The following is a 24476-nucleotide window of genomic DNA, read 5'->3' on the forward strand; positions in this document are numbered from 1 at the left end:
CACCTTATCTGTGCTGAGACTTTGAGTCACACCAGACCTTAGCAGTACAGATGGTGAGGGCAGGACCCCACAACAGGAGGGCAGCATAGGAACCAGAGGGGCCTGTTCCCAACGCCACGGGGATGGATGAGTTTCCCTGCACTCAGTAGCCCTTTTGGTTAGGGAGAATCAAGCGTCCTTGTCAATAGGGAAAAAGAGTCTTAATAAAGAATGTGAACCTCACAAGAGCATGTATGCATGAAATCCCACCAGAGCGTTTAAACTGGAAGATGGTTTAAATTGTCTTTCTTTACGTGATGAGCTTGAGACCTCCTCTCTCCACCTGCATCAGAGGGAATGGGGGCTAAAAGACGTTTCATCTACATTGTAGTGGGTAAATTCTGACCCATGACATGTGTCTTGAGACCCATTGTGTAAGGACACTGGGCCAAGCACTGTGGAGACAGCAGGATGATAGCACCTAGCGGGTAAATCTACGGGGGGATATAGAGATGAACAAATGTAAAGTGTAGCAGCAATACAACTGCAGAATAGAACAATTGCACAATGGAGAGATGGTGCCAGTACTTAATGATCTGATATGGTGAACACAGCCTTGCAAATAAATGTAACTTTTATTGAATATTTTTTTCTGATCATAAAAATGAAGCACGCTTATTAAAAATGGAAACATATTGAAAATTATAAAAGAAAGAATTGAAACCCACAATCCAACCCTCTCTATTAACATTTTGGTGTCTTTTCTTAATACCATTTTCTCTTTTTATATGTGTATATATAAACACACACACATTTAATATGGTTGAGACTATCTTGTACATGGTTATATTTCCTGCTTACTTCACTTAACATTATACGAGAACATTTTAACATCTTTGAGCATTCTTCATAAACCAGCATGTAGGGTGCCCATGAGATAGTCCATTGTGTGGATGTACTGAAATGTATTTAAATAATTCCCCATTGTTGGGTATTTTGACTATGTCTGATTTTTTCACTAGCATAAGTCTTCATCTGTATTTCTGATTATTTTCTTAGGATACATTCATAGAAATAAAGTTATCAGGTCTACAGGAAATAATATTCTTCAGGCTCTTTGTTGACACACATCACCATAAATCGGTACCACTCTTTACTATCACCAGCAGTGTACTGAAGTGTCCTTCTCACCTTTGCTGACATTGAGCATTATATCTGCCAAATTGGCCGGGCATGGTGGCTTACACTTGTAATCCCAGCACTTGGGAGGCTGAGGTGGGCGGATCACTTGAGGTCAGGAGTTTGACACCAGCCTGGCCAACATGGTGAAACCCCATTTCTGCAAACAAACAAACAAACAAACAAACAAACAAACAAAAAAAACAAAAATTGTCTGGGCATGGTGTTGTGTGCCTGTAATCCCAGCTACTTGTGAGGCTAAGGCAGGACAATCGCTTGAACCTAGGAGGCAGATGTTGCAGTGAGCCGAGATCGTGCCACTGCACTCCAGGCTGGGCGACAGAGCCAGACCCTATCTCAATTTAAAAAAAAAAAAAAGTGCCAAATTGAAAGAGCAAAAATAGCAGCCTGCTTTAATTTGCATTTTTGATTACTAGAGACGTTGATTTTCTTTTCTTTCTTTCTTTCTTTCTTTTTTTTTTTTTTGAGACAGGGTCTCACTTTGTTACCCAGGCTGGAGTGCAGATGTGCGATCACAGCTCACTGCAGACTTGACCTCCTGGGCTCATGCAGTTCTCCCCTCTCACCCTTCTAAGTAGTTGGGACCACAGGCGTGCACCACCAGACCTGGCTAATTAAAAAAACATTGTAGAGACCAGGTCTCCCTGTGTTGCCCAGGCTGGTCTCAAGCTCCTGGGCTCAAGCAATCCTCTTGCGTCGGCCTCCCAAAGTGCTGAGATTATAGGCATGAGCCACCATGCCCAACCATGCTGATTTTTTCCTCTATATTCTTATCAACTCTTTTTATTTGTTCTCCGAATTCTCTGTCATGTTCCTTGCCCATTTTTGTTTTGGGTGTTAGTATTTTCTTAATGATCTAGAAGAACATTATATTTTAAGGATTTTTATTTTTATCTATTGCCATATTTGTTTCAAATGATTTTTTTCTTGGTTTGTAGTTTGCCTTTTAGCTTTAAATGCAGTGTTTGTTTGATAGTATAGAGTGGTGAATGGAGTGTGGAACAGTCTGGAAGACTGGCTTTGCACTCTGGCCTTCTCCCATGGCCATCATGGTAGAAACCGAGAGGGTCTGCAGAACTGGCCTTGCCCCTGTGCTCCTCAGAACCTACACTGATGTTTCACAAGGACTGATGAGGCTGTCCCAGTGATCACTCTTTAACTGACAACCTTTCTATTCCCACCTCCCCTCAGACAAACCCAAAAAAGCAACCTGCCCCCTCGAGGAGGCACCAGTACTCTCTGCATCTGGACTTTCAAGCTGTTCTCAACCAAAGGCTTGTTGGGGAGAGAAATTGTGACTGCTTCCAATGGATTGTTTATGTACATTCTTAATGCCAACAAGACACTCTTGACTGCTCTGCTCTTTTCCTGTTGAGTCAATGGGGAATTCCAGAGACCAGTTCCTCCCGCCCCCTTTTGCGGCTACAACTATATTTTCTGGTCACACATTCTTCCAAAACTACCCCCACTGCCCCATTGCAACTCCACATTACACTCACACCTCCAGTCCTACGAACAGGTAGAAGGGTGGTGCAGATTCTTAGCTGGTCTTCTGACAAATGAGTTGCTAAGTCAAACAGAGACCTTGACAAGGGTGCCTCTTTACAAATGGAATCTAGTTAGTCTCCAGGAGCAACCTCCCCTTGCCCCCAAATGTAGCAAGGGCTCATGGAGTGGTGAGAACAGACGGTGGGGAGGAAGAGGTAATGGAGGTATGGGATCTTCAGCATGGACCTCCCACAGCCAGACACCCTGCACTTTTATCCCTTCTTTTCTGCTTGTCCTTTTCTACTTAAAATATCATGGAGGTTATTTCTTATTTGTTCACATAAAGCCGCCCCATCCTTTATAATGATTGCCCTGTATTCAATTACACACAGTCATATTCATTTATTTAACTACTCCTGAGCATTTAAGTTGCTTCTAGGTTTCAGCTGTTACAAGTAACACTGCCCAAACCCCTAAACCAAACCAAAACAACCCCCCCCCCCCACAATGTGTTCGTAGACTTCTTCACACTTGTATGAAGAGGTTACTTCCATCCCTGTAGGGTAAATTCCTAGAAGTAGCATTGCTGAGTCAAAGGGTATGTACATTCCCAGCGTTTCTATATCCTGCCAATTTTCCCTCTGCTAAGCATGGACCTGTTTACATCCCCACCAGCAGCACAGGAGGGTGCTTCTTCCCACAATGTGGCCAGCACAATTAGAAAAGACAGAACTCCCTGCATGGCCAACAAAGCTCTGTGTGTTCTGGCCCAGCCTACCTCATGTCAGCCTCCTCAGGGAGCTCATTCTACCCGCCCTCCTCACTTGCTGGCCCCAGGCTTTGCATGGGCCATTCCCTTACTCAGGATGTTCTTCTCCCCTTTCTGTCTCGCTTATCCTGCAGATCCCAGCCCATGCGCAGCTACTTTGGGGAAGGGAAGCCATGTCTGAACTCCCAGGCCGCTCTCAGCCCCTTGGCCAAGGTCTTGGAGTATGGTGAGTATTATTCTTGCCACAGGAGCATCTTTACAGTGGCTTGTGGGGTCATCTGATAAATATCTGTCTCTCCACTGGACTCTTAAGCTCCATGATGCTCATGAGCTCTGCATGAGACATGAGAACCATGTCTGTTTCTGATCACTGTGGTCTTCCCAAGAGCAGGTCACAGTATCTGGCCTACAGAAGGCACTCAACCTTTTTATTGAATGACTGAACAAAAGTAACACAAGCTCACCCTTTTCCTCCTCCAAACTTCTTGCCCTGTGCTCATTATCTGGGTGAACGCCATCAGTGCCCTTCCAGTATCTTAGCAGGAAACCCAGCTCTTCTCTTAAACTCCTTTCTCTTCTCTCTGCACATCCAGCGGGGTTGTCAAATCACTTTACACTACAGGAGAAATTCCTCTGCCCTCTCTAGGTCTTTAAGTCATTCCCTTACCTTCAGTGCCCTTTCCCTCCTTACCTTGCCTGATGATGTCTATTCTTCCTTTAAGATACACTGTATCTTTTCTAAGAAACTATCCAGCTCTCTAAGTCGAATTTAACCTTGTTCACTGTCCCATAGGCTGTATCTCCAGAGAGCCCTTTCCTTGGCTGAATATCGGAGTTGTCTATGGAGTTTTCTGTCCTACCATCCCCCCAACACACAAACAGACACAGACACACACAGAGACACACACACACACACACAGGGTGTGACGTGTTGGAGAGCAGGAAGCCTACCTTGTTCATCTCTGCATGCCCCTCAGCCCTGAGAACAGTGCTCTGTATACAGTAAGTGTTCAATAAACTCTGAATAAGATCAAACCAAATGATGCTCAAGTTAAAAAGGCCCACTTGGCTTATTAGACTTTTAGAGACGCTTTCCAGAAAGAGCTCCACTGGGCAGGCAAAGTTGAGAGAGCCTCTTTCTTCCCCACCGCCTCCCTGTAGCCTGCCAACCTTCAGACTGCATTATTCCCACGCCGGAACCCAGGCAACATCATCAGACAAGTCAGATGTTTCCCATCAGTCTGGAAGGTTTCCATTTTCATTTTCCACATCAGCGTTATGCTATCAATCTATTCCCCAGCCTGCTTCCTTCTCCTGCCTCCCCCTACCCCCGCCCCTAACACACCACTAGTCCCTGCTGTGGATCAATTCCTGTGTTGCAGATACAAAGGTAGTTTTGCTTGACAAATGAAGCTGCCCTTCCAGGAGGCAATAAAGAGATCAATACTGGTTATACGGAAGTGCTCAGGAGCAGGTGGGATGGTGATATCCCTGAATCCCACTGCCAGCGCCATGCTGAGCAGCCCTCCCCAGCCAGTGAGCCCTGTCCCCTTCCTTCCACACCCTTGCACCTGCAGAAGCCTGGTGTGCCCAGGGCCAAACCAGCCTATCTCTCCTGGTGGGATGGGCATCGTCAAGGGGTGAGCATCCTTTGGGTGCAGAGCACCCTGCTCTGGATCCTGTGGCTTGGTGGCCCAGATGGTAGCTGAGGAGCCTATGAACAGATGGTGCTGATGGAAGACACCTGGGTGGGTTGAGGGAGGCAGAGAGCAGGCCAGGGTTTGAGTTCCAGTCCTGCCACTCACTGGCTTTGTGACCTTGGGCAAGTCACTTTCCATCCCTGATTGGGCCACTGATTCTGCACCTGAAAGCCACGGAGGTTAGACTGGATAACCTAGGGTCCATGGATGGGCTTATGAGTGTCCATGTACCTCTGAAATTTCTTCCAATTTTGTGTATATGTATATTTTTTTCTGGGGTAGAGGGTCCATGCTCCCCCCACCCCACCTTCTTAATATCAGATTCTTAAAGGGACCCTTGATGTCCATCCCCCACCATGGTCAACTCAGACCGAGCATTCTGTGACTCCAAACAAACAGGAGACAAGTGTTCTTGCAGGACTGCTGATGTTGCTGGGGACGCACACCAGGCACCCCAGAAAAAGACACAAGGGTGCTCTTGGAGTAATAGTAAAGACATGGTAGGAAGCAGGTGGGATAAATCTGGGAAGACTCCCTGGAAGAGGTGAATTATGACAACAAAGGTGAGGCAGAAGCTTAAAGGGGAAAGGTGAAGGGGGGCCTTGAGGAATAATAGGGTGCGCTCTCCTCTTCTCCATGCTCAAAAAACAATACACTTTGTGAGAGGAGACCCCCTAACTAGCTGAAGCTGCTCACAGTCCTCTACCGAGAACAAGAAATCAAAAAGTCAACACCAGCTCATTAAATACTCGGGGCTGGCTAGCTATTAAAAGAATTTCCATTTCAGAACAGGATGCCTACCAGGGAATGCCAGACCTAAATATAAGCCAGCCCCCTCCCTGCCAGGAGACTTTACCGCGTTAGGCAGGCGGGGAGGCAGGACTTTGAGGAGATGTGTCATTACTTTTAACATCCAAATATAACTGGCCCCAGGGGGTCGGAGACTGAGGCTGCTCTTCCCAGCTACCTCCTGCCAGAGCCCAGGGAGGGTATGCAGGGTTGGGGGTGTGGGAGCAGACCCCTGCAGAGCTCAGAGGTCTTGGCTGCAAGCAGCCTCCCAGCCACCCCTCCCCTTGCCTAAATGTAGGGGTCTGGAAGGAGGGCCACTGAAGCCTAGCGGCTGTATCCTGATCTGGCTGCTGGGGTGGGGCAGGGGTGTGGGGAAATTTGGGGGCTCTCTGGGTGAAGGAGGGGCTACTTTTAAATATTTATAGTTACTTTTCCTTTCCTGGAAAGGTGGGAGGAAAGGGGCTACAGGGAAGAAAAGCCACTAAGCTGCCCTGGAGAGAGATATATATGCATCTCCCTTATCTCTCTCTCTCTGCATTTCTTTCCTTCAGTGCAGGCTCTCAGTTTACAGTTCTGCACTCACGCCTGTCTTCCCCATCAACTAAGCTCCTTGAGAACATGGGCTTTGCATCTGCTCACATCGCTATCCCCAGTGTCCACCAGCCCAGTGTCCTCGGGAGTGAATGAAATGACAATCGTGCAACAGCCCTATGTAGGTAGAGTGCTATATACACCACTGGTTCTTAACTTGGCTGCCCAGTGGAACCCTCTGACCGCCTGGATTCTGATTTCATTGTACTGGGGCGCAGTGTGGCCATTTGGATTTTTAAGAGCTCCCAGGTGGTGATTCTAACGTAAAGCCACATTATCTAATCAAAAAGCTTTCAGTTGTCTCCATTGATTCTCTTTTCTCTTCCTCTACCTCCTCCTGTTCTTCCTCCTTGAATCCCCTGTTGTTGATTCTTTAAAACAACCTTATGAGAAAAGTATGGCAGGGGTCATTATCCCCTGTGGTCCCCTGTGGGACTTAAGAAACCAAGGCTTAATGTGGTTAAACGACTTGCCCAAGGTCATGCAGCCAATCAGCAGTTAAATTGGAACGGTCCAGTCCTCACAGTGCCCAACGCAGTCTGACTTCCCTGCTTCAGTGGGAAGCCTGGAGCAGGGTCTTGACATGTAGGGAAGTTGACCTGCAACAATGCAGCTCATTTCTTGAATGGAGGGAGGAGAAGTAATGGTCACTATGCAAGATCCAGCATCTGCCCCCTCACAGTGTGGCCAACACTGCCCCTGCAGGCAGCCTGACCTGAGGCTGAGTTAGGCTGCAGACAAGCCCAGGGCAGGGCGGGGACCTCTGATGCCAATAGATAATCAGAGGGCACAGTTTGGCACCAGATAATTTTGCACAGAAAAAAAGCCGGTAAAGAATCTAACAGTGGAATAGTCCATCTTAGGCTGCCTCTGGACCACATGTCCTTCTAAAAACAATAGACTTGGAATTGAAGAGCTGTTGACCCTGGGAGGGCCAGTTGAGTCCCTGGTGGCTCAGTTTTCCCATCTGGAGAATGAAGATAATAGTACCCTACTCGCTGGCTGCTGCGAAGGTGAAATGAGAAAACGGAGGTGACAATAATGTTGAAAATAAAAGAAAACACTCTTTGTGTGCCCTCCTACCTGAGGAAGAGGGGTTGGCCTGAGCTGTCTTCTTTTGCACTCCTGAGCCTCTATCACATCCTGAGGTCCTGGATGCTGGGCCTGCTAGAGGAAGTAGCTTTTGGCTGCAAATCCTACTTGTGACCCTCACTGCATGAACTTCTGACCAGAACCAGTTTATTTTCTTGAAGTTGGGGAAGATTTCATGGAAGCAGACATGACTATAAGAAGCAAGTGCAGGGAGGGAGTCCCACTGACCCTAGCCTCTTAGCCTGTTGGTCTTCAGGGGCAGTTTTAGGGAGAGGTACAGGCAGGTCTCTCACCCCCCAGGTGTTGGTGGTCGCCAGCTGTTCCTCATTCCCAGTGAAACAACATGGCCGGTTGTACCAGATTGTAGAAGGAAGTGTGTCTGGAGAGTGGAGCTAATTAAGCCCAAGCAGGTATTTTGGGTGGGGAAAAAAAAATCACCCTTACCCTGGGAAGGAAATCCTCACAAATGCACTTTCCCACATGTGATGGGGCCAGGTTAGCAAGTAGCTGTTGGCTAGGGTTCCCATCAGTGGCCCTTGGGTCTTTGAAGAGTGTTCAGTTGTTGAGTGTCACTTCTATGACTAGGGATGGGAGTAGCACAGGGAGCCCCAGCAGAACAGGGACATGAGGCTTCTTGCTAGAAAACTTTTGCTTGCTTGGACAGAGCTGGGATTGGCAGCCAGCTCACAACCACCATTGTTTTTCTAATGTAGGCAGCCCTGAGACTGTCCCACTGCCAGGCTTTGTGGTTGCAGCCACTCAGGGTATCAGACACAGTAATCCTGTAATTGACAGAGTCACAAAGAAGGAGATCTTGGGGTCATCATCAGTCCGATTGGCCATTTGATGCCTGAGTCTTCTTTCTAGGCAGGATTCCAGTGTCTTCTAGTGATGCCTCCAGTGATGGGGTTCTCACCACCTCCCAAGGTTTTCACTCAAAGGCACTATTTGGATGGATTGGGCTGTGGACCACTTATGGGAGAGTCAGAGCTGGAGAAAATGATCCCACTGCTGGAGCTGACACAGGGGATTAGGAGGGTAGCCATAGTGTGTGGTTCAAGAATTATAGTAATCTCTGGTCTAAGACCTGAAAAACAGTCCTTAAGCTCTCAATGGGAAGACTGTACTGCTACTGATGTATACAGGTTGTTCCTTTCCATTGTTGTATAGTATTTCATCACATGAATATAGCACAGTGTGTTTTTCTACTGCTGGTGGACACTTGAGTTTGTTCCAGTTTTGAATGAATGAATCTCCCATGAATGAATCTCATGAACATAAGGTTGAGCAAAAGAAGCCAGACTCCCAAAAAAGTATACTTTGCATAATTAGATTTTATGCTTTTTTTGGTTGGGGAGGAGGGAGTTAGTGACTGGAAGGGTAACACAAGGGGACTCCTGGGGTGCTGGTGATATTCTATTTCTTGAGCTAAGTGACAATTATGCAGATGTGTTTACTTTATGAAAAGTCAATAAGCTGTATAAGATCTGTGTCCTTTGACATGTATATTAAAACATTTATTAAAATAAACATTAAAAATGTTTACTTAAGAAATTATGGCCCAACCGTGATTGACTTTAAAATAGTAATACTGTCAATGACTTATGTTATGGAACTTTCTAATTTCTTACAGACGTGTAACAGATAAGAGGAAACTTCAGGGGATATACTGACATTTTCATGGAGTTACAGTCAAAAGTCTTGCAATAATAAAGATCATTCAACTAAATTTGTTGACTATCACTACACATCAGACACTGTTCCCAGTGTTTTCTGTGTATCAATTCATTGAATTCTCACAACAGTAGGAGGTCAGTATTTTGATGTTTGCAGAGAAGAAGATGGGGGCCCAGAGAGGTTAGGTAGGCACTGAAAAGTCACACAGCTGGTAAGGGGTTGGGGAGCTGGTGTTTCAGACTGTCCTAAGGAACTGGGGACACCTTCTGAGCTCCTGGGATGACTCAACTAGAGGCACCTCTGGGCCCATTCTGAGGGAAGCTGGGCCGGGCTGGGAAGCCCTCCAGGCTCGGCCACTGGCCCAGGAGTTTCTGGCCAACTGAGAGAAAACCCAGCCCCGCTCAGTATGCATGTTGTGGTATTTTTAAAAAGAGGTAAATAAGTCTCCTCATTTGCATGATATTTCACGCTGACTCGGTCTCTCAAACTGTTATTCCATCTACACACGGCACTGTGGGATGCCTGCGATATTTTATAAAGTTAATAACTTTCTCTTAATTGGATGAGTTTATAGAATAGTCTGCGCAATTAACAATAATTACGCCAAAGACACTTTGATTCCAAGGATGCTCCACAAACATTGGCGCATTAAGCCATTTAGGAAAAAAACAACAACCCACAACACACTGCCACAAGACAACACACAGGTACACGCACACACACACACACACACACACACACACACACACACACACACTCTCACTGCAGAGCTCCCTGAAGCACCGTGACCCAGAATGAGTCTTTGTTTCCAGGCCACAGGATGGTGGAGCTAGAAAAGAAATGCCTCGTGTCACACTTCACTACACTCTGTGCCTCCCCTCGCTACCCCCTACCAGGTAGGAGGAGGGGTCGGCAGGGCCAGGTCCTGCCACTACTTGTTGAAGGACACACTGTCTGTCCATGCCCAGGTAACCATGCAGGACAACACCACCTGAGCACTTGGCAAAGACTCGTAATAAACTAGATCTATAATAATGTCTCTCTCTCCCTCTCCCTCTCTCTCATCTATGCTACCTTTGATCTCAACAATACCTATTTCAGGATGACTTCTCATTCAAAAAGGACAATTGCCTAGGGACATGAAATTCAGAGTTACTTGAATGAAATTTTTAAGCTATTCAATACAGCTCCTTTCATAAAGTTATAGACATGCAGGGTTGGAAAGGGCCTAACCTCATTCAATGGTTGAATGGCTTCTCCAACATTCTGCCAGATGGTTGTTGAGTCTTTGCTGGAACACCTCCATTGATGGGGAGCTCGCTACCATCTAAAGGCATCCATTCCATTTTAAGATAGCTTTAATTATAAGAAAAGTCTTCCATATAATAGAGCTTAAATTTATTTCCCTGGAACTTCCACCTGCTGGTTCTACCCTTTGGAGAATAAGTGAATTCCTTCTTTCATATAACAGCTCTTCAGTTTTCAACACCTGTCTATGACTCACACTCTCCCCAGCCACCCTGAGTCTTCTCTTCCGCAGGCTGACAATGCCCACTTCCTATAACCTTTTCTACCATTCCAAGCCAGCTTCAGAAACCCATCCATCAGAATAGTGCTGCAAAAAAATTCTAGCCCTACAATAAAATATCCCTAAAGTGTCCATGTGACTTTCATCATCTCTTTATAGTGCCTTTAGGTTTGGTTTAAAAAAAAAAAATCTGTCTTTGCAGGAAAATAGATGCTTCTATTTGAGCTGGGGAAACAAGGAGCAGGGAGGGAGGGGGATGCATTTCAGTGGGCCAAGGAGAGCACAGGGTTGAGGAATGGGATCTCTTGCTACGGAGGCTGTGTTAAGCGGCCCAAGACCAGCACTTGTGGGCTTGTCACTCAATGCCCCTTAGGACAGCCTTAAGTGCCACTACCGCTCACTGGGGGTGTTCTCAGGAGACAGGGACCTTCCAGATAGGGTTGCTGAATACTGCAGAAGGCGAGCTCCTTTGTCTGCACAATCCCAGGATCAAGCCTTCCCCAACGCACCCAGCCCCAGCCCAGCTCAGTGAGCCAATTCCTGACCTGGCTTCTTTGCCTTTCTCTCTGTTCCCTCCCCAGCTCCACTTTTGCCTTTATGGTTCTAGCTCGGGGCGCCTGTGCCCAGCCCATCTGTTCAGTCCCATATGCTTCCCGTAAGGGCTGCCAAGTCGGCCCAGTGCTCAGTGACTCTACTCCAGCCCCTGGTGGCTGGTCTCAGGCTTTCTCTATCCAACCTGGTCGCTAGGAAACAGCCTTGCTACTGCATCAAGGCCAGACCTGGATGCTGTCATGGTACAGCAGAGGCGTGGCTATTGGCCTGGGGCACCCGATGGGCACCCAAGACCAACCTTCCTCAGGGAGTGCCCCTGGGTCAGGAGGGCCTGGCCTCAGGAGGTTTGCCCTCAGGGCCCACATCCCTGGAAAGGTGCTGGTGAATAAGACCCTCCCAGGCTGGAGGGTCTATACTTGGTAACCCTATAGACCACAGAGTGGAGAAATATTTCAGAAAAATTAAGATTTGGAGGAAAATGGAAAATATGTTTAATCTCTTTTTGTACTCTTTGCAAATCTGTAGTTCCCTTTTCAGCTAAAGAACTTAAAAGTGAATTATGGATAACATATTTTGATTCCAAAATGTTCATGTTGGTACACTTAAAGGGGTATAAATGAAGATTTGAAAAAAAAATGGTTACATTTTGGGAAAGTAAGGTTTTTCTTGTTTTATCTCATCCTTTTTAGTTGATGGAGTAGTAGATTATAGATACATCTTTCTATGCTTTCACACATTTATAGCAGGTCACAGGGCACCTTGTTTATGGCCCCTTTCTACAACAAATTCTTGTGGCAGGTCACTAAGAGGCATGATGCAGGGGCAATCATGTGGACTTCGGAGCAAAATACCTAAGTTCAAATTCTGACTCTTCTATGTATTAGCTTTGAGACCCCAGGGAGCTTTATTGAGCCTACGTGGGAATAATAATTTCAATTCCATAAATTGGTGAGAAAAATTAGCTAATTTAAGAAAAATTAGCAAATTTCGTGAAACATCTTTAGTACGGTGCTTGGTACACTGGAGACAATAAACATTGCTGAGTAAAAACAGCCTGGTGGATTACAGCCCAGTGACTTTGAGGTCCCATATGTGAACGATTCCTAAACTGTGCCACCCTTTCCAGAATGGCAGATAAAGCCCTGGCTAAAACTCTTAAAGTAGATGAGGAAGCAGCTCCAGCCGGCCATGATCCAGCTTCCCCATACAAAAGAGAACCAGGTCTGAATTTCATCAGCCACCGACAGTGGAGAGCTAACAAATTGTTCTCTTTACCCTACCAGTACCTGTAAACACTGCCAGCTCTCTCTCCCTCCTCCTCCTCCCCTCTCCTCTCTTTCTCTGTCCTCCACACCTCCCCTAAGATTAGATTGGATTCCAGTTTTATAAGGCCATTCTGACACCTACAGCCAACCAACTGCTCCACTTAATAGGAACGACACTGTGACTGAAATTAACTCCAGAGGGGAGATTTCCAAGCCATTGCTCAGACAGGCTTGTCTGTTTGCCACCCGTTTGGACTGGGGCCCCCTACTTTGCTGCACCTTCTCCTGCGGCTGTCCTCTCCTCCCGCATGTCACAGAGAAAATATCCTTGCTCCTATAAACCTGTTTTAGGCCTGAACAGGCAGCATGGGATGCCCTCCCCATGGGGGCAAGTGGAGATCAAACACAGGATGAAGAGTCTGTGTGAAATACTAGAAAGAGTGGACTTGGAGTCAGACAGATGAATTCCAATTCCCTTTTCATCACTTATTAGCTGTGTGACCTTGGGCAAGTTACTAAACCTCTCTGGGTCTCAGTTTCCACAGGTGCAAAATGGGTACAATAATAACTACTGTGTAGAAAAATTGTGAGAATTAAGGAAGGTAATGCATGTAAAAGTGCTTCATGTAGTACCAGGCATACATAGTAGATACTTAATACACGACAGTTCACTTAAAGTCCAAACTTCAGCTTTGAGCAGAGATACAAAAATCTCCCAGGTTGCAAGAAATGTCTTCATTTCAGCTAAATGGTTTACTGTCTATGGACATGGCATCTGGGATGATTAAGCTGAAGATGGGAAATACCTGTGCTCCATTCAAAGCCCAGCTCCAAATTTGCCTCCATTTAGAAGTCTTTGCTGAAAGAAGGCTTCTACCACTTACTAGCTGTGCATTGTCAGGCATGTTACTTAAAATATTTTAACAAGTTTTATTACTCTTTTTATTGGTTGTCCTTTAGCACTTATGAACACATTTGAGACCATACAGAAAGCTCAATTCTAAGTAAATATGACAGGTGGATGCTTAATTTATATACTGCTAGAAATAAATTTATTTGCTAATGTTTGAAACCCTAGAGTTAAGTAATTTTCAGGTGGCTCAGTGGTGACACCTATCTGTGAAGTCTGGTGCAGCAGATCAGCTCTATCAGACATGGAACATTTTAACCAAAGGGGAAGGCAGGGAGGATAAGTGGTGCTTTAAGAGTGAAGCCAGGGGATTCTGAGTCTCAGGAAAAGGAAAAGCAGGTCCATTTTCTTTAAAAAATGTTAATGTACTTGCATCTTGTTATTCAACTGGACTCTAACATTCCAAGAATATGGCTATATATATTTTTTTGGGGAAAAGAACTTAGCTATGGAATTAGAAGCTGGGTTCTCTCATGAATTGGCTGTGCTGTTTTATGCAAGTTGTACAACATCACAAAACCTCATGATCTTATCTATATGCAGGAGGCAATATTTACCTCACAGGACTATTTTAAAGGTGAAACAAGACAACGTGTGGAAGAATCTGCCATGTATTAGCTAGGTGTTGTGGGTAAGGTATGTAGCCTCCTTGGGCCTCAGTTTTCTGATTGAAAAGTGGGATTGTCAAGAGGTTACCATGAGGATCAATGAAAGGACGTGTTTCATAAAAAGTTTTCTATACATTGAAATATTATTTTAATATTTACTTATTACTATAGCAAGCACACTACAAGGTCTGAAACTTAGATGACCCTCAGTCCATGTTTGCTGGATGAATAAATGGTGGAATGAGAGACCATTTGCCTAGTCCAGGCTTGGATGTTTGCCAAAATGAGGACCCCTTTAAAAGGAGAAGAGGACTGATGATATTAATACCAGATTTTTTTTCCCAGCAGATCCATATTTAGCTTTGTCCATCCCAAAGGGCTGGTGGCCTGGAAGCTCTGCAGACATGAATGAGGCGGCTTTGTGCTGTACCCTGCTTCACCATGGAGACACACACCTGCTGTGGTGTAAGATGAAGAAGCTGAGAAGCCGCCATCTGTAAGATGTAAATTTTTATTTGTCTTCCAGGAGCAGGGGCAGGTTGTACCAAGTTGCCCTCCCTTGCTTCCCCCTGTGATTGATGGCACAGAGTTAGGCTGGAGCTGGCTGGCAATGGTGGTGAGCCTATAAAGCTAACAGCTCATGTGCAGATCCTGCACATGGGCCTCTGAAAACATTGACCTCACCGATGAGCCTGACTGTTCTCCGCAGGCTCACATGGACCATCCTTCACACGTGCATTCTGGGGCTCTCACTCCACTCCAGAGTCCTGGAGGAAGGGGGCTGTTGTTTCTAGTTTATGTCTGGTTTCTCCTGGCATATTCAGTTCTGAAGGACCAGAGCCCTGATCCACTGGGGATGACGGGAGCCAAAGACCCAGACTCTTTAGCAAAACTGAAGCAGGTCAAGTTCAAGTTCATCTCAACTACCTACATTTTGGTGCTCCTCGTTCTCCCCCACCCTCAAGGCACCTGGCATGCGGACATTTCCCATGCTGCACTTCTAAAGGATCCTACGGGTAACAGATTCAATAAGTAATACAGATTATATATAAATAATTATGTTTACTGAGTCCATACTATGTATTAAATGCTGCAAGGTGTACACATATAAATGCTCTTCTACTGGGCAGGCTAGGGTAGCCATTATGAGTGCTGACCTTACACTAGGCAGGTCTCAGCCCAAATCCTGCTTCTAGCACTTATTAGCTCTACGGTCTCAGGCAGGTTATTTAATATCTCAAAGTCCTATGCCTATGCCTTCTCTCTCCTATGAGACATGAGAACCCTGGCTTCTCGTCAACTAGCATCAACTGAAATCTCCTGCCATGTTTAAGGGCATCTGTGTCTAACATGCTAAACTCTTTTTTTTCTTTTTTCTTTTCTTTTCTTTTTTTTTTTTTTTTTGAGACAGAGTTTTGCTCTGTCACTCAGGCTGGGAGTGCAGTGGCGTGATCTCAGTTCACTGCAACCTCCACATCTCAGGTTCAAGTGATTCTCCTGTCTCAGCCTCCTGAGTAGCTGGGATTACAGGAGTGCGCCATGACACCAGCTAATTTTTGTATTTTTAGTAGAGACAGGGTTTTGCCATGTTGGCCAGGCAGGTCTCGAACTCCTGACCTTAAGTGATCCATCCGCCTCGGCTGCCCAAATTGCTGGGAATACAGGTGTGAGCCACTGCTCCTGGCCTAACATGCTAAACTTGCAGTGGAAGGCCCCTTAGCATGGGATCTAGGGTTAGATAGTCTTAGCTCTGTCACTCACCCGTTGTGGAACCTTGGGAAAGTGAAATAAACAGAGCCAGTTTCCTTGCCTCTAAAGCTCTAAAGTGGGGATAATAGTAACACCTACACCTCATCATATGGTTATAAAGATTAAATTAATCAATGCCTCTAAAAGACTTAGCCTGGCCCCTGCTATATAGCAAATGTTCAATAATTTTTGGTTATTATTGTTAACCTCATCTCCCAATAGACGAGGTAGCCCAAGATCACACACCTGAGACTTGAACCCAAGTCTTCTGACACTGAGACCAGTTAGGTACTTCCATCACAGAATGCTGACTCATCTGAATAACATGTGTTAAGACACTATTGGAGGATAATGGCTTGCTGTTCCCCTGCATAAAAACATAGTTACAATTTCACAGGAGCTGTCAAGCCTTTAGTGCAAAGAGAATAATAATGGGCACCCAGGTACCATAAAGGACAGGTGGGAGGGAGAGCTCTCTGTGCAGGAGGAGCAGTGAAAAAATAGAACAGGTTACCTTCACTAAATGATTAACTTTCTTTTTACCATTTGTTGGTTTCAAATTAAAATAAGTCTAGCCAACTTGCAAAGCCACCCACCAGCTTCAACTTGATTGAAATCAGCTGAATCGGAATGACAGCATCACAGGCGTTCACAGAGATCAGGGGGAAGGATGGGGAGCAGAGCCAGGAGGGGCCACCTCAGCGAGGCCTGCAACAGGAGGTGTTTATTCTTTAGGCCCCTAAGAATGACTGGAGTCATTCCTGACCTTGTGGCTCTTGATAGAGTAGTGAATGGAAAGGCACTATTAATCTGCAAATAGAAGGGGACTTGGGAGCTCAAAACCTGTCTGTAAATAAGCTTTGAGGGGGCGAAGGTTGGAAAGTCAGTGCATTACAAGTTTAAAGCATCAGGTGCACTTGGATTTGGCCCTTTTGGGTTTTGTGTTTTGGCCTTTTTTTATGGCTTGAGTATGGGTGAGATAGTCCTTTATTATGATAGGCACTCACATGCGCACTCGTGGCCCCAGATGAGAGCCTGGAAGTCATCACCTGGCCCTTTAACTTGTTCACTCCTAAGCCTGGCCCCAGGAGCACTCTTCTCCCTCCTAGATGTTATTCTCCTTCAAAAGCTCCTTCCTCACTCCCACGGAGAGACCTGGTAAGCCCTGGGGTCAAATGCAACCCCCAGCTAGAATCATTGCTTCAGGAGCCAGCCCATTGGGAAGAGAAGACATCTAGCAAAGATTTCTCTGGCAGGGGCACAGATTAATTTGTGGCTTGGCAGAGGAGAGACAGAACAAGAGTTGGGGAGGCAGGGTTGGATTTTGGGTCTAGATTGGTGATGTTTGAACTTGTGTGCACATTGGAATCACCCAAGGAGCTTCAAAACCCACCCATGCCTGGTCTCCCGCAACATACTGTAATTTAATTGGTCTGGAGTGTGGCCGGGGCTTTGGATGGTTTAAGAGACCCCCAGGTGATTCCAACGTGTGGTCAGGTCTGGGAATCACTGGTCTGGGACTCCTACAGAGAGGGAGTTCTGCTTCACCCCTAGTCTCTACCTCTCCCACCCCAGACACATGTATTCTCTGTGGGGGCCTCATGGGTTGCTGGAGTGAGGAGTCCAGTTGAGCACAACCACCGAGTAAAGGGATTTCAGGCCCGGGGAAAGTACCCTCTGGCTTTCAAAACACCTCTCCCACCTACTTCCTAACACCTGCAGCTCCTTCGCAGGGACAAAGCTCTTTATTCCACAATGAGAGATAAGGCTTAAAACAGCAATGCCCTTGGGAGAAGAAGGAGAGTGACTCACATTCATGCTAAGCTATAAATGACTGATGAGCAGGGGAGAGAACACTGAGCCATGTTGACAGCCTGACGCAGGGGAGAAGTGTGAACATATTCAAGCTAGAGGGGCCCCCTCATTTTAGAAAGGAGGAAACTGGGTCCCAGTGGTGTGACCCAACATGGTCAAGGCCATCTGTTCAGCAGGTCAGCCCTAGCGTCCAGGGCAGAGAGGATGCTCTTCATACTTGGCACAGCTTGAGGTAGGGCTGGCCTTGACTGTCGAAAATGAAGATGCCTCCTGCAGGCGTCTCCATGGTAGATCTCTGTATCAGACTTTGCATTGCCCCAAAATGCTGTTGGAAAATGTGTCAGGCATTTTCTTACTAACAATGCCTGTGGGTGCTACTGGCATTTAGTGGGCAGGGTCCAGGGACACAAAATAGCCTGTAATGTGTGGGGCAATCCTGCCCAAGGAAGTACGGTGCAGATCCAAATGCCATCAATGTCCCCTATCAGAAACACTATTAATCCTGGGGCTGTGGCAGTCTATGAGGCGCATCTTCCCCTAAAACCCATGACAGAAGCGCTGGTCCCATGCCTGTGGGCATGGTCTGGACATCGGTGGAGGAGGCATTTGTCTCCAGGTAGGTTCTATGGACACTTTGAGGCTAGTGCCTGTGCAGCTGGGTTTCCCACAGGCCTCTGGGACATTGCCCCATTATCTGGAGCTGAGCTCTGGGTACAGGGATGCTGAATACCCTCATACCAGAGCTCCAGGCCAGAGATTAAAAATGCCTAGTGGGCGGTGTTTAGCACAGCCCACTCTTGCTGAGACCCCCCCCCCTCCTTCTTCTGGCATGAGACCTGGTCAAAGAATCAGCCCAAGTTATCACCTGCCCCTGCTCAACCTTGGTCCCCTGGGGATGCTACACAAAGTAAAGGGCTTGCCTAGAAAGCTACTCCTTAAGCAGAAAGGACCCTGTGCCATGTTGCCAGGGCCCTGAGTAGCAAATGTAGGCATTTCATGCTGCTGCCTGATTGCTTTCAGGGGTGCTCCACTCCTCTTAATCCAAAGATTTATACTTTCTTGATTTGATAGTGGGGCAAAGTTAGATGAGTGGGCCATTATCAGGTAGTTAAAGAGTCCAGGCTGTTCGCTTCACTGGGGCAGTCATGTCTCCTCTCTGGGCCTCTGTTTCCTTATTCATAAAGGGTGCTGGTCATGCTGCCTGCCTTCTCATGGAACGGGCATAGCACATCAAAGCATGTGGCGGATTCTCGAGCTGTACCCAAACAAGCGCTCTCTATGCAGGAGGCGCTTATTTTCCCATCATCATTGCAGGCACCCACTGTCCCTATGTCTCCAGAGCCCCACACCTTGGACCACCCCACATCCCTGGACTACTGGCCCCAGGGACCGCCCTGACATTGTGACCACCTGGGACAAGACTCAGAGGGCCTGGCCATGAGCGGCAGGTGCAGAGTAGGGGCAAAATCTCATCCTATGCTCCACGGTGCCTGCCACTTGCTGACCACCAGCACCCTGATCCTCCAGGAAGGAAGAGAGAGGGTGGAAACCCGCAAAAGAAATCAGCCAGGCCTGAGTTCTCCAGGCAGTGGTGCCTGCGAGACTTTACATTCAGGAAGCTTAGCTGACATTTATGGCGGGAAGTTTTATTTCTGTGGTAAATAACCTCGAATGGTATAGGTCATTAGACTAATAACAGCAGATAATTAATTTTCTAACTCTTTTTTAAGCTGGCCACATATTACAAGAGAAATATAATTTATTCTTTTTCTTCTCTTGCGGATGTGACCGTGCTTATCCCGTTGTCCTGCCCATCAGAACGGAGATGGCGGGAGTTTTCCCTTCCGCCCCCGGTCTGCTAAGACACTGTTAGAGGTTACAAGTAACCCCGCCTCTTCTTCTCCCTCCTAGACGTTATTCTCCTTCAAAAGCTCCTTCCTCACCACCATCTGAGGTGGGTTTTCATTCGCCCTGCCCTGTTTCCCATGGGTCTTGGGCACAGGGGCTGGTGCTGATTTCCAGGGCTTTGACTGAAGGCCTCTATGTCGTCCCCAGCCTGAGTACAATGCCGGGAGAGGTGCCCAGTCGCACTGCTCGCAGCCCCACATCACCACACTCGTGCCTTCCCCTGAGCCGCTGCACCCACCATTCCCTACGGCCCAGTGCCTGGGCCCCTGCTCTCTATGTAAAGCCCGTCTGCTGCCCGTGGCTTGGTTCAGCTCCTCCGTAACTGAGCTCATCCTCACAGTGTCCAGGAGGGAGCTTCGGGAACTCCTGCGCCAGGCACTTTGTATATATGATCTCACAGAAGTTTTGAAGGCGGTTCCAACACCTTCATTTTGGAGTTGGGGAGACTGAGGCTGAATGCGGCTGAGCTGGGATGGGCATCTAGCTCAAAGCAGGACCCCTCAGGCCCCGCTGCCCACATGCCTCTATTTTTATCAGCCATTAGGCTCCTCATGTTCCCCTCAGACTTCATGAGTGTTGCATTTTCCAGATCCCTGGAGCTCTAATCAAGATGACTCTTCTTCCCCATGGGGACCATGGGCCCCTATGCACCCTCCATTTCCCTGTATTTCCCACAGAGCCCATCATGGTCCTGAGCACTTCTCAGTAATACCTGTATGTTTTAAAGGGTTTATGTTGCATAAAGCCCTTTCATCACACATTGCATTTCAACCTTATAGTATTTCTGTAAGGGACACATCAGCATGTCATTATTCCAACTTCAAAGATGAGAGACCGAGGTGCTCAAGGTGATACTGCTGGGTCGATGTGAAGAGGGAACTAGAATCAAATCTGTTGCCCCCATCCAAGAGTTTCCCTGCCAGCACACCAGCTTATGGAACTTAGGCAAGGATGGAGTGAATCCTCCCACTTGCTCCCTCCAACACAACCAAGGCAGCCTCTGTTCAGGAAGCGCTTCCCAGGGTGGGGAGCGGCTGATCCTCATGACCTCTGAGCTGAGGAGGGAATAGCAGGAACCTGAGGCCACAGGCCACTCTACCTTCCCTGCCCGACCTCCTCGTGCAGGGAGAAGCACCAGTTTCAGTCACGTGCAAAATGTAAAATCCTTTACTAAACCCCAAATCTAGAATCTCAAAAGTGACTTCCAGCCCAGTCAATTCCGATATTCTGGCCCCTTGTATAGAATTCCTGTTCATCCTCTGAGACCCATCTCCATACCGGCTCCTCTGTGAAGCATCTCCTCCTTGGACTTGCACTATCTGGTCCCATAGCACTTGTTTATTCTTAAATGGGAGTCACTCTGACTTGCATTGTGGTGAAGGGTATACCCGGGGCACAGTCTTCTGGGATGGACACTTCCATGGGAAGGGGAAGTTATACGTGGACTTATATCCTCCTACACTCTCATCTAGAACCATCTATCCAGAAGCAGGAGTTGTTTCTTTTAGAAACCAGATGGCTCAATCTGCCCATTTTACAGGTGAAGGCAGTGAGGTCCCAGAGAGATAAAGCATCTTGTCCAAGGTCACAGAGCCAGACCTAGACTCTAGGCTGCCTGGCTCCTAGTTCAGGGCTCATCCCACCCCAGCCAGCTGCTGGCTAGACAGAATCCACCCAACCTGGCCCAGACTCTCTGGTGGGAAGTCAGGGATGCAGTGGTCAGGATGGGCATCAGAGCCAGCAGGCCCTGAGCACGGCTAACCCAAGTGGAACATGAACTTCCTAAACTCGGGTGGAAGTTAGAAATGGCATATTGATCAGTGCTAATGAGCTTAAAACATCCAGGGATTAAAAAAAAAGATGAAGAAGCTCTACTTCAAGCATAAATCTGCTCAACAGAAAGGAGACCTGGTTACGCTCTCTATGATATGTCACTGTCTGGAGGCTGAAGCGGGGAGGTACATGTGGGGTGTGAGATTTGGCTTTGGCAAGGTGGCATCCCTGGTGCTGAGACCTGAGTGTCCGCCATTACCTCCCGGGGACAGGAAAGCTCCAAGTTGCTGCTCCCCAAGCTGGGAGGCCACGGAAGCTGATGGCTGCCCACGCTGAGTGCTGTAGGGCTCAGAGTACTGGGGGATGGGTGCACATGGGGAGCCCTGGGGACAAAGGACAGTGCTCTCCCACCCCAAGAAGCAGCAGACAAGGGGGCCTGGACAGACTGGGCAGGGGTGATGAGAAATTACTAAGACAACCGGGCAGAGAGAGCAACAGAAACTGCAAGTGGCAGACCCACACAACGGGAGAGATGGACAGAGACAGGGAGACTCAGAGACAGTCAGGGAGACTCAGGCAAGGCTTGGAAAAGGTGGGAGGGAGGAAGTGAGAGAGAAAGACACTGAAAAAAGAGAGCAGGGAGAAGCCATGGTGGCTCGCTCCTGTAATCCCAGAGCTTTAAGAGGCCAAGGTGGAAGGAGTGTGTAAGGCCAGGGGTTTGAGACCAGGCTGGGCAATAGATCAAGACCCCATCGCTACAAAAAATAAAAATAAAATTAGCCGGGCATGGTGGCATATGCCTGTAGCCCCAGCTATTCAGGAGACTGAGGCAGGAGTTCAGGGTTGAGACTGCTTGAGCCCTGGAGTTCAGGGTTACTGTGAACTAGGATTGCACCACTGCACTCTAGCCTGGGTGACACTGTCTCCAAAAAAGAGAGAGATGGGGAGAAGATTGCCTCTTTAAGCCCGACAGGAACTGAGAGACAGCACAGTGAGGCAAGGGAGCAGCAGACTGCAGACAGACCTGCAGTGTCCCCATGGAGAAAGCGCGAGATGTCACCCCTCCTGCCCTTCTGTCCCCCACAGGGCACAGGAATGACATCTCCCATTCCAGTGCCCCTTCTTCTTCTTTCGTACAGTTCCCTCACCTGCTGGAGGGAGGAGTGGGGAGAGGGGAAGAGGCAGGAAGACAGACACAAGTGAGCCCGACTGCACTGCCTGAACAGGCGTCGAATGCACGTCACATGCCTGCTTGCTGCTAGTGGGCCCAACACACACAACACACATCTGCTCAGCTCAGTGGCCTTGCAGACACACAGATCTCCACTCCCAAACCTGGCAGTGAGTTCTGCCATTCCAGGGAAAGGCATGGGAGAGAGGCAGCAGAGGGAGACAGCCCACCCTGCTGAGGGAGGACCTGGCGGGCCTGTCTCTCTATTGCCCCTGCCTTGTACCAAGCACTTGCTCCACCAGGTCTTGCCGGAGCTCTGTGGCCCCACAGCCTTGAGGATCATGATGGCCCTGTGAAGTCAGAACAGGTGTAGTCCCGTCTTACAGATTTGGAAACTGAGGCATAAAGTGGCCAAAAAAAAAAAAAAAAAAAAAAAAAAGAGGCATAGGGTGGTAGAAGGCAGGGCCGGTGTCTGAAAACAGGAAGCCAAGTGACTCCAGATCCAGGAGTGAGAATGAGCCTTTCCTGAAAAGCATCCCCATTGGACCATTTTAGATGGTGGCAAGAGCCCAGCAGGAGGAAGAGTGCCTGGGTTCAAAGCCCGGCTCCGATACCCTTCCTAAATGTGTGACCTCAGCAGGTCGCATGAACTCTCTGTGCCTTCGTTTCCTCATCTGTAAAACTGGGATCACAGCATTTAGGTCAAAGGGTTATGAAGACAAAATGAATTGGACACATAAGTGCTCAGAATGTTGCCTGGCACATAGTGGGCACTCAATAAACATAAACATGAAATTCTAATATTTTATAGGAGGGAGAATGGCAGTGACAAAGGTCGGGGGAGGGCTGGGTGAAAGGGAAGAAAGTCACCCTCAGGAAATAGAAAGGGGCCTCTGGAGAAATAGCTCTGCTGGACTCATAGCCCTATAGCCTGAGGACACAAGAGTCTGGGGGAGCCCCAAATCTGAGCTACCTGGGGGCCTCCTGCTGCTGCTTACTGCTGGTGGTACTGTCCCTGCTCAGCAGATACGATGAGAGTTTTTCTAGCACTCCAGACAGGCTCTCCCACAGACACAGGGCCTGTTGGACCCGGGCAGAGGGAGAGAGGGAGGCCCACCAGGGTTCCTGGCTACATCCACTATTCCCCAGGAAGCCCAAGAGGAGAGCTGCGGGCTGCAGGCTCCAGCCAATGTTCACCTGGCACACCCCAAACAGTCTTCTTAGTGTCCCCCTCCATGGGATCCTAGAACTTTCTGGGGCCTAGCTCTCCGGGGAGATCAGAAGAATTAGTTCAGCTCCACCTAAAGGCCAGTGTCTTCAGGGACAGTTACATTTTGAAAGAAGCCCAAAGGGAGAGAACAACAGAATACATTAGAATATCAGACATAGGGAGCAGGCAGATATTTCTGTGAGCTTGTGCATGTGCACACACATGTGATTGTGCCTGTGTGTGTGTGTGTGTGTGTATGCATGTCCCATTACTCCTTCAATCAATCATCCACTCATCTAACCATCCAGCCACTCCTACTTTCGAGGCTTCTTCCTGGGCCAGGCCCTGAGCTATGCTCTGGAGCGACAGAGGCTGGTGACCTGGTGCCTGTCCTTGAGGAGAAGGCCCCTAAGCTAAGGAGAGAAGGTCTATAGACAGGAGGTCCCTGGCTGAGTCACAGGCCCCTAGCAGGCCAGAGAAGGAGGAGGTCTTAGAGGAGCGGCAAAGCCTCTCTCTTGCAGATAAGAATGTTGCAGCCCAGGTTTGGAAGGACACGTACAGCTCACCTGGCCCAGCCCTCTCCCCAGTGGCCATATAGCCTAATGGTTAGGAACTCTGCCCGATGTCGACAGTCCTATCCCTGCTCAGCAGACACGACCGGAGGCTTTTCTCAGTCACTGGCCCCAGGTCATCACGGACTAT

At 47.8% G+C, this 24476-nt stretch overlaps 1 protein-coding gene across 5 annotated transcripts in view, besides 3 other annotated features; it reads right to left on the reverse strand.

Annotated features, from left to right (window-relative positions):
* Positions 1–24476, reverse strand: part of DSCAML1 (DS cell adhesion molecule like 1) — a 389743-nt gene that overhangs the window by 179910 nt on the left and 185357 nt on the right. The window lies entirely within an intron of this gene.
* Positions 2619–2718: an enhancer, noted in NCBI's record as "active region_5572". NCBI's record gives its function as "activates an Ori minimal core promoter by ATAC-STARR-seq in GM12878 lymphoblastoid cells {active_cell/tissue: GM12878}" and the evidence as "EXISTENCE:reporter gene assay evidence [ECO:0000049][PMID:35858748]".
* Positions 4499–5032: an enhancer, noted in NCBI's record as "H3K4me1 hESC enhancer chr11:117482895-117483428 (GRCh37/hg19 assembly coordinates)". NCBI's record gives its function as "activates a minimal SCP1, AML or CMV promoter by ChIP-STARR-seq in primed H9 embryonic stem cells {active_cell/tissue: H9 hESC(primed)}" and the evidence as "EXISTENCE:reporter gene assay evidence [ECO:0000049][PMID:30033119]".
* Positions 9633–10132: an enhancer, noted in NCBI's record as "H3K4me1 hESC enhancer chr11:117488029-117488528 (GRCh37/hg19 assembly coordinates)". NCBI's record gives its function as "activates a minimal SCP1, AML or CMV promoter by ChIP-STARR-seq in naive and primed H9 embryonic stem cells {active_cell/tissue: H9 hESC(naive and primed)}" and the evidence as "EXISTENCE:reporter gene assay evidence [ECO:0000049][PMID:30033119]".

This window comes from Homo sapiens, chromosome 11 (assembly GCF_000001405.40).
Source record: "Homo sapiens chromosome 11, GRCh38.p14 Primary Assembly".
Lineage (NCBI taxonomy): Eukaryota > Metazoa > Chordata > Mammalia > Primates > Hominidae > Homo > Homo sapiens.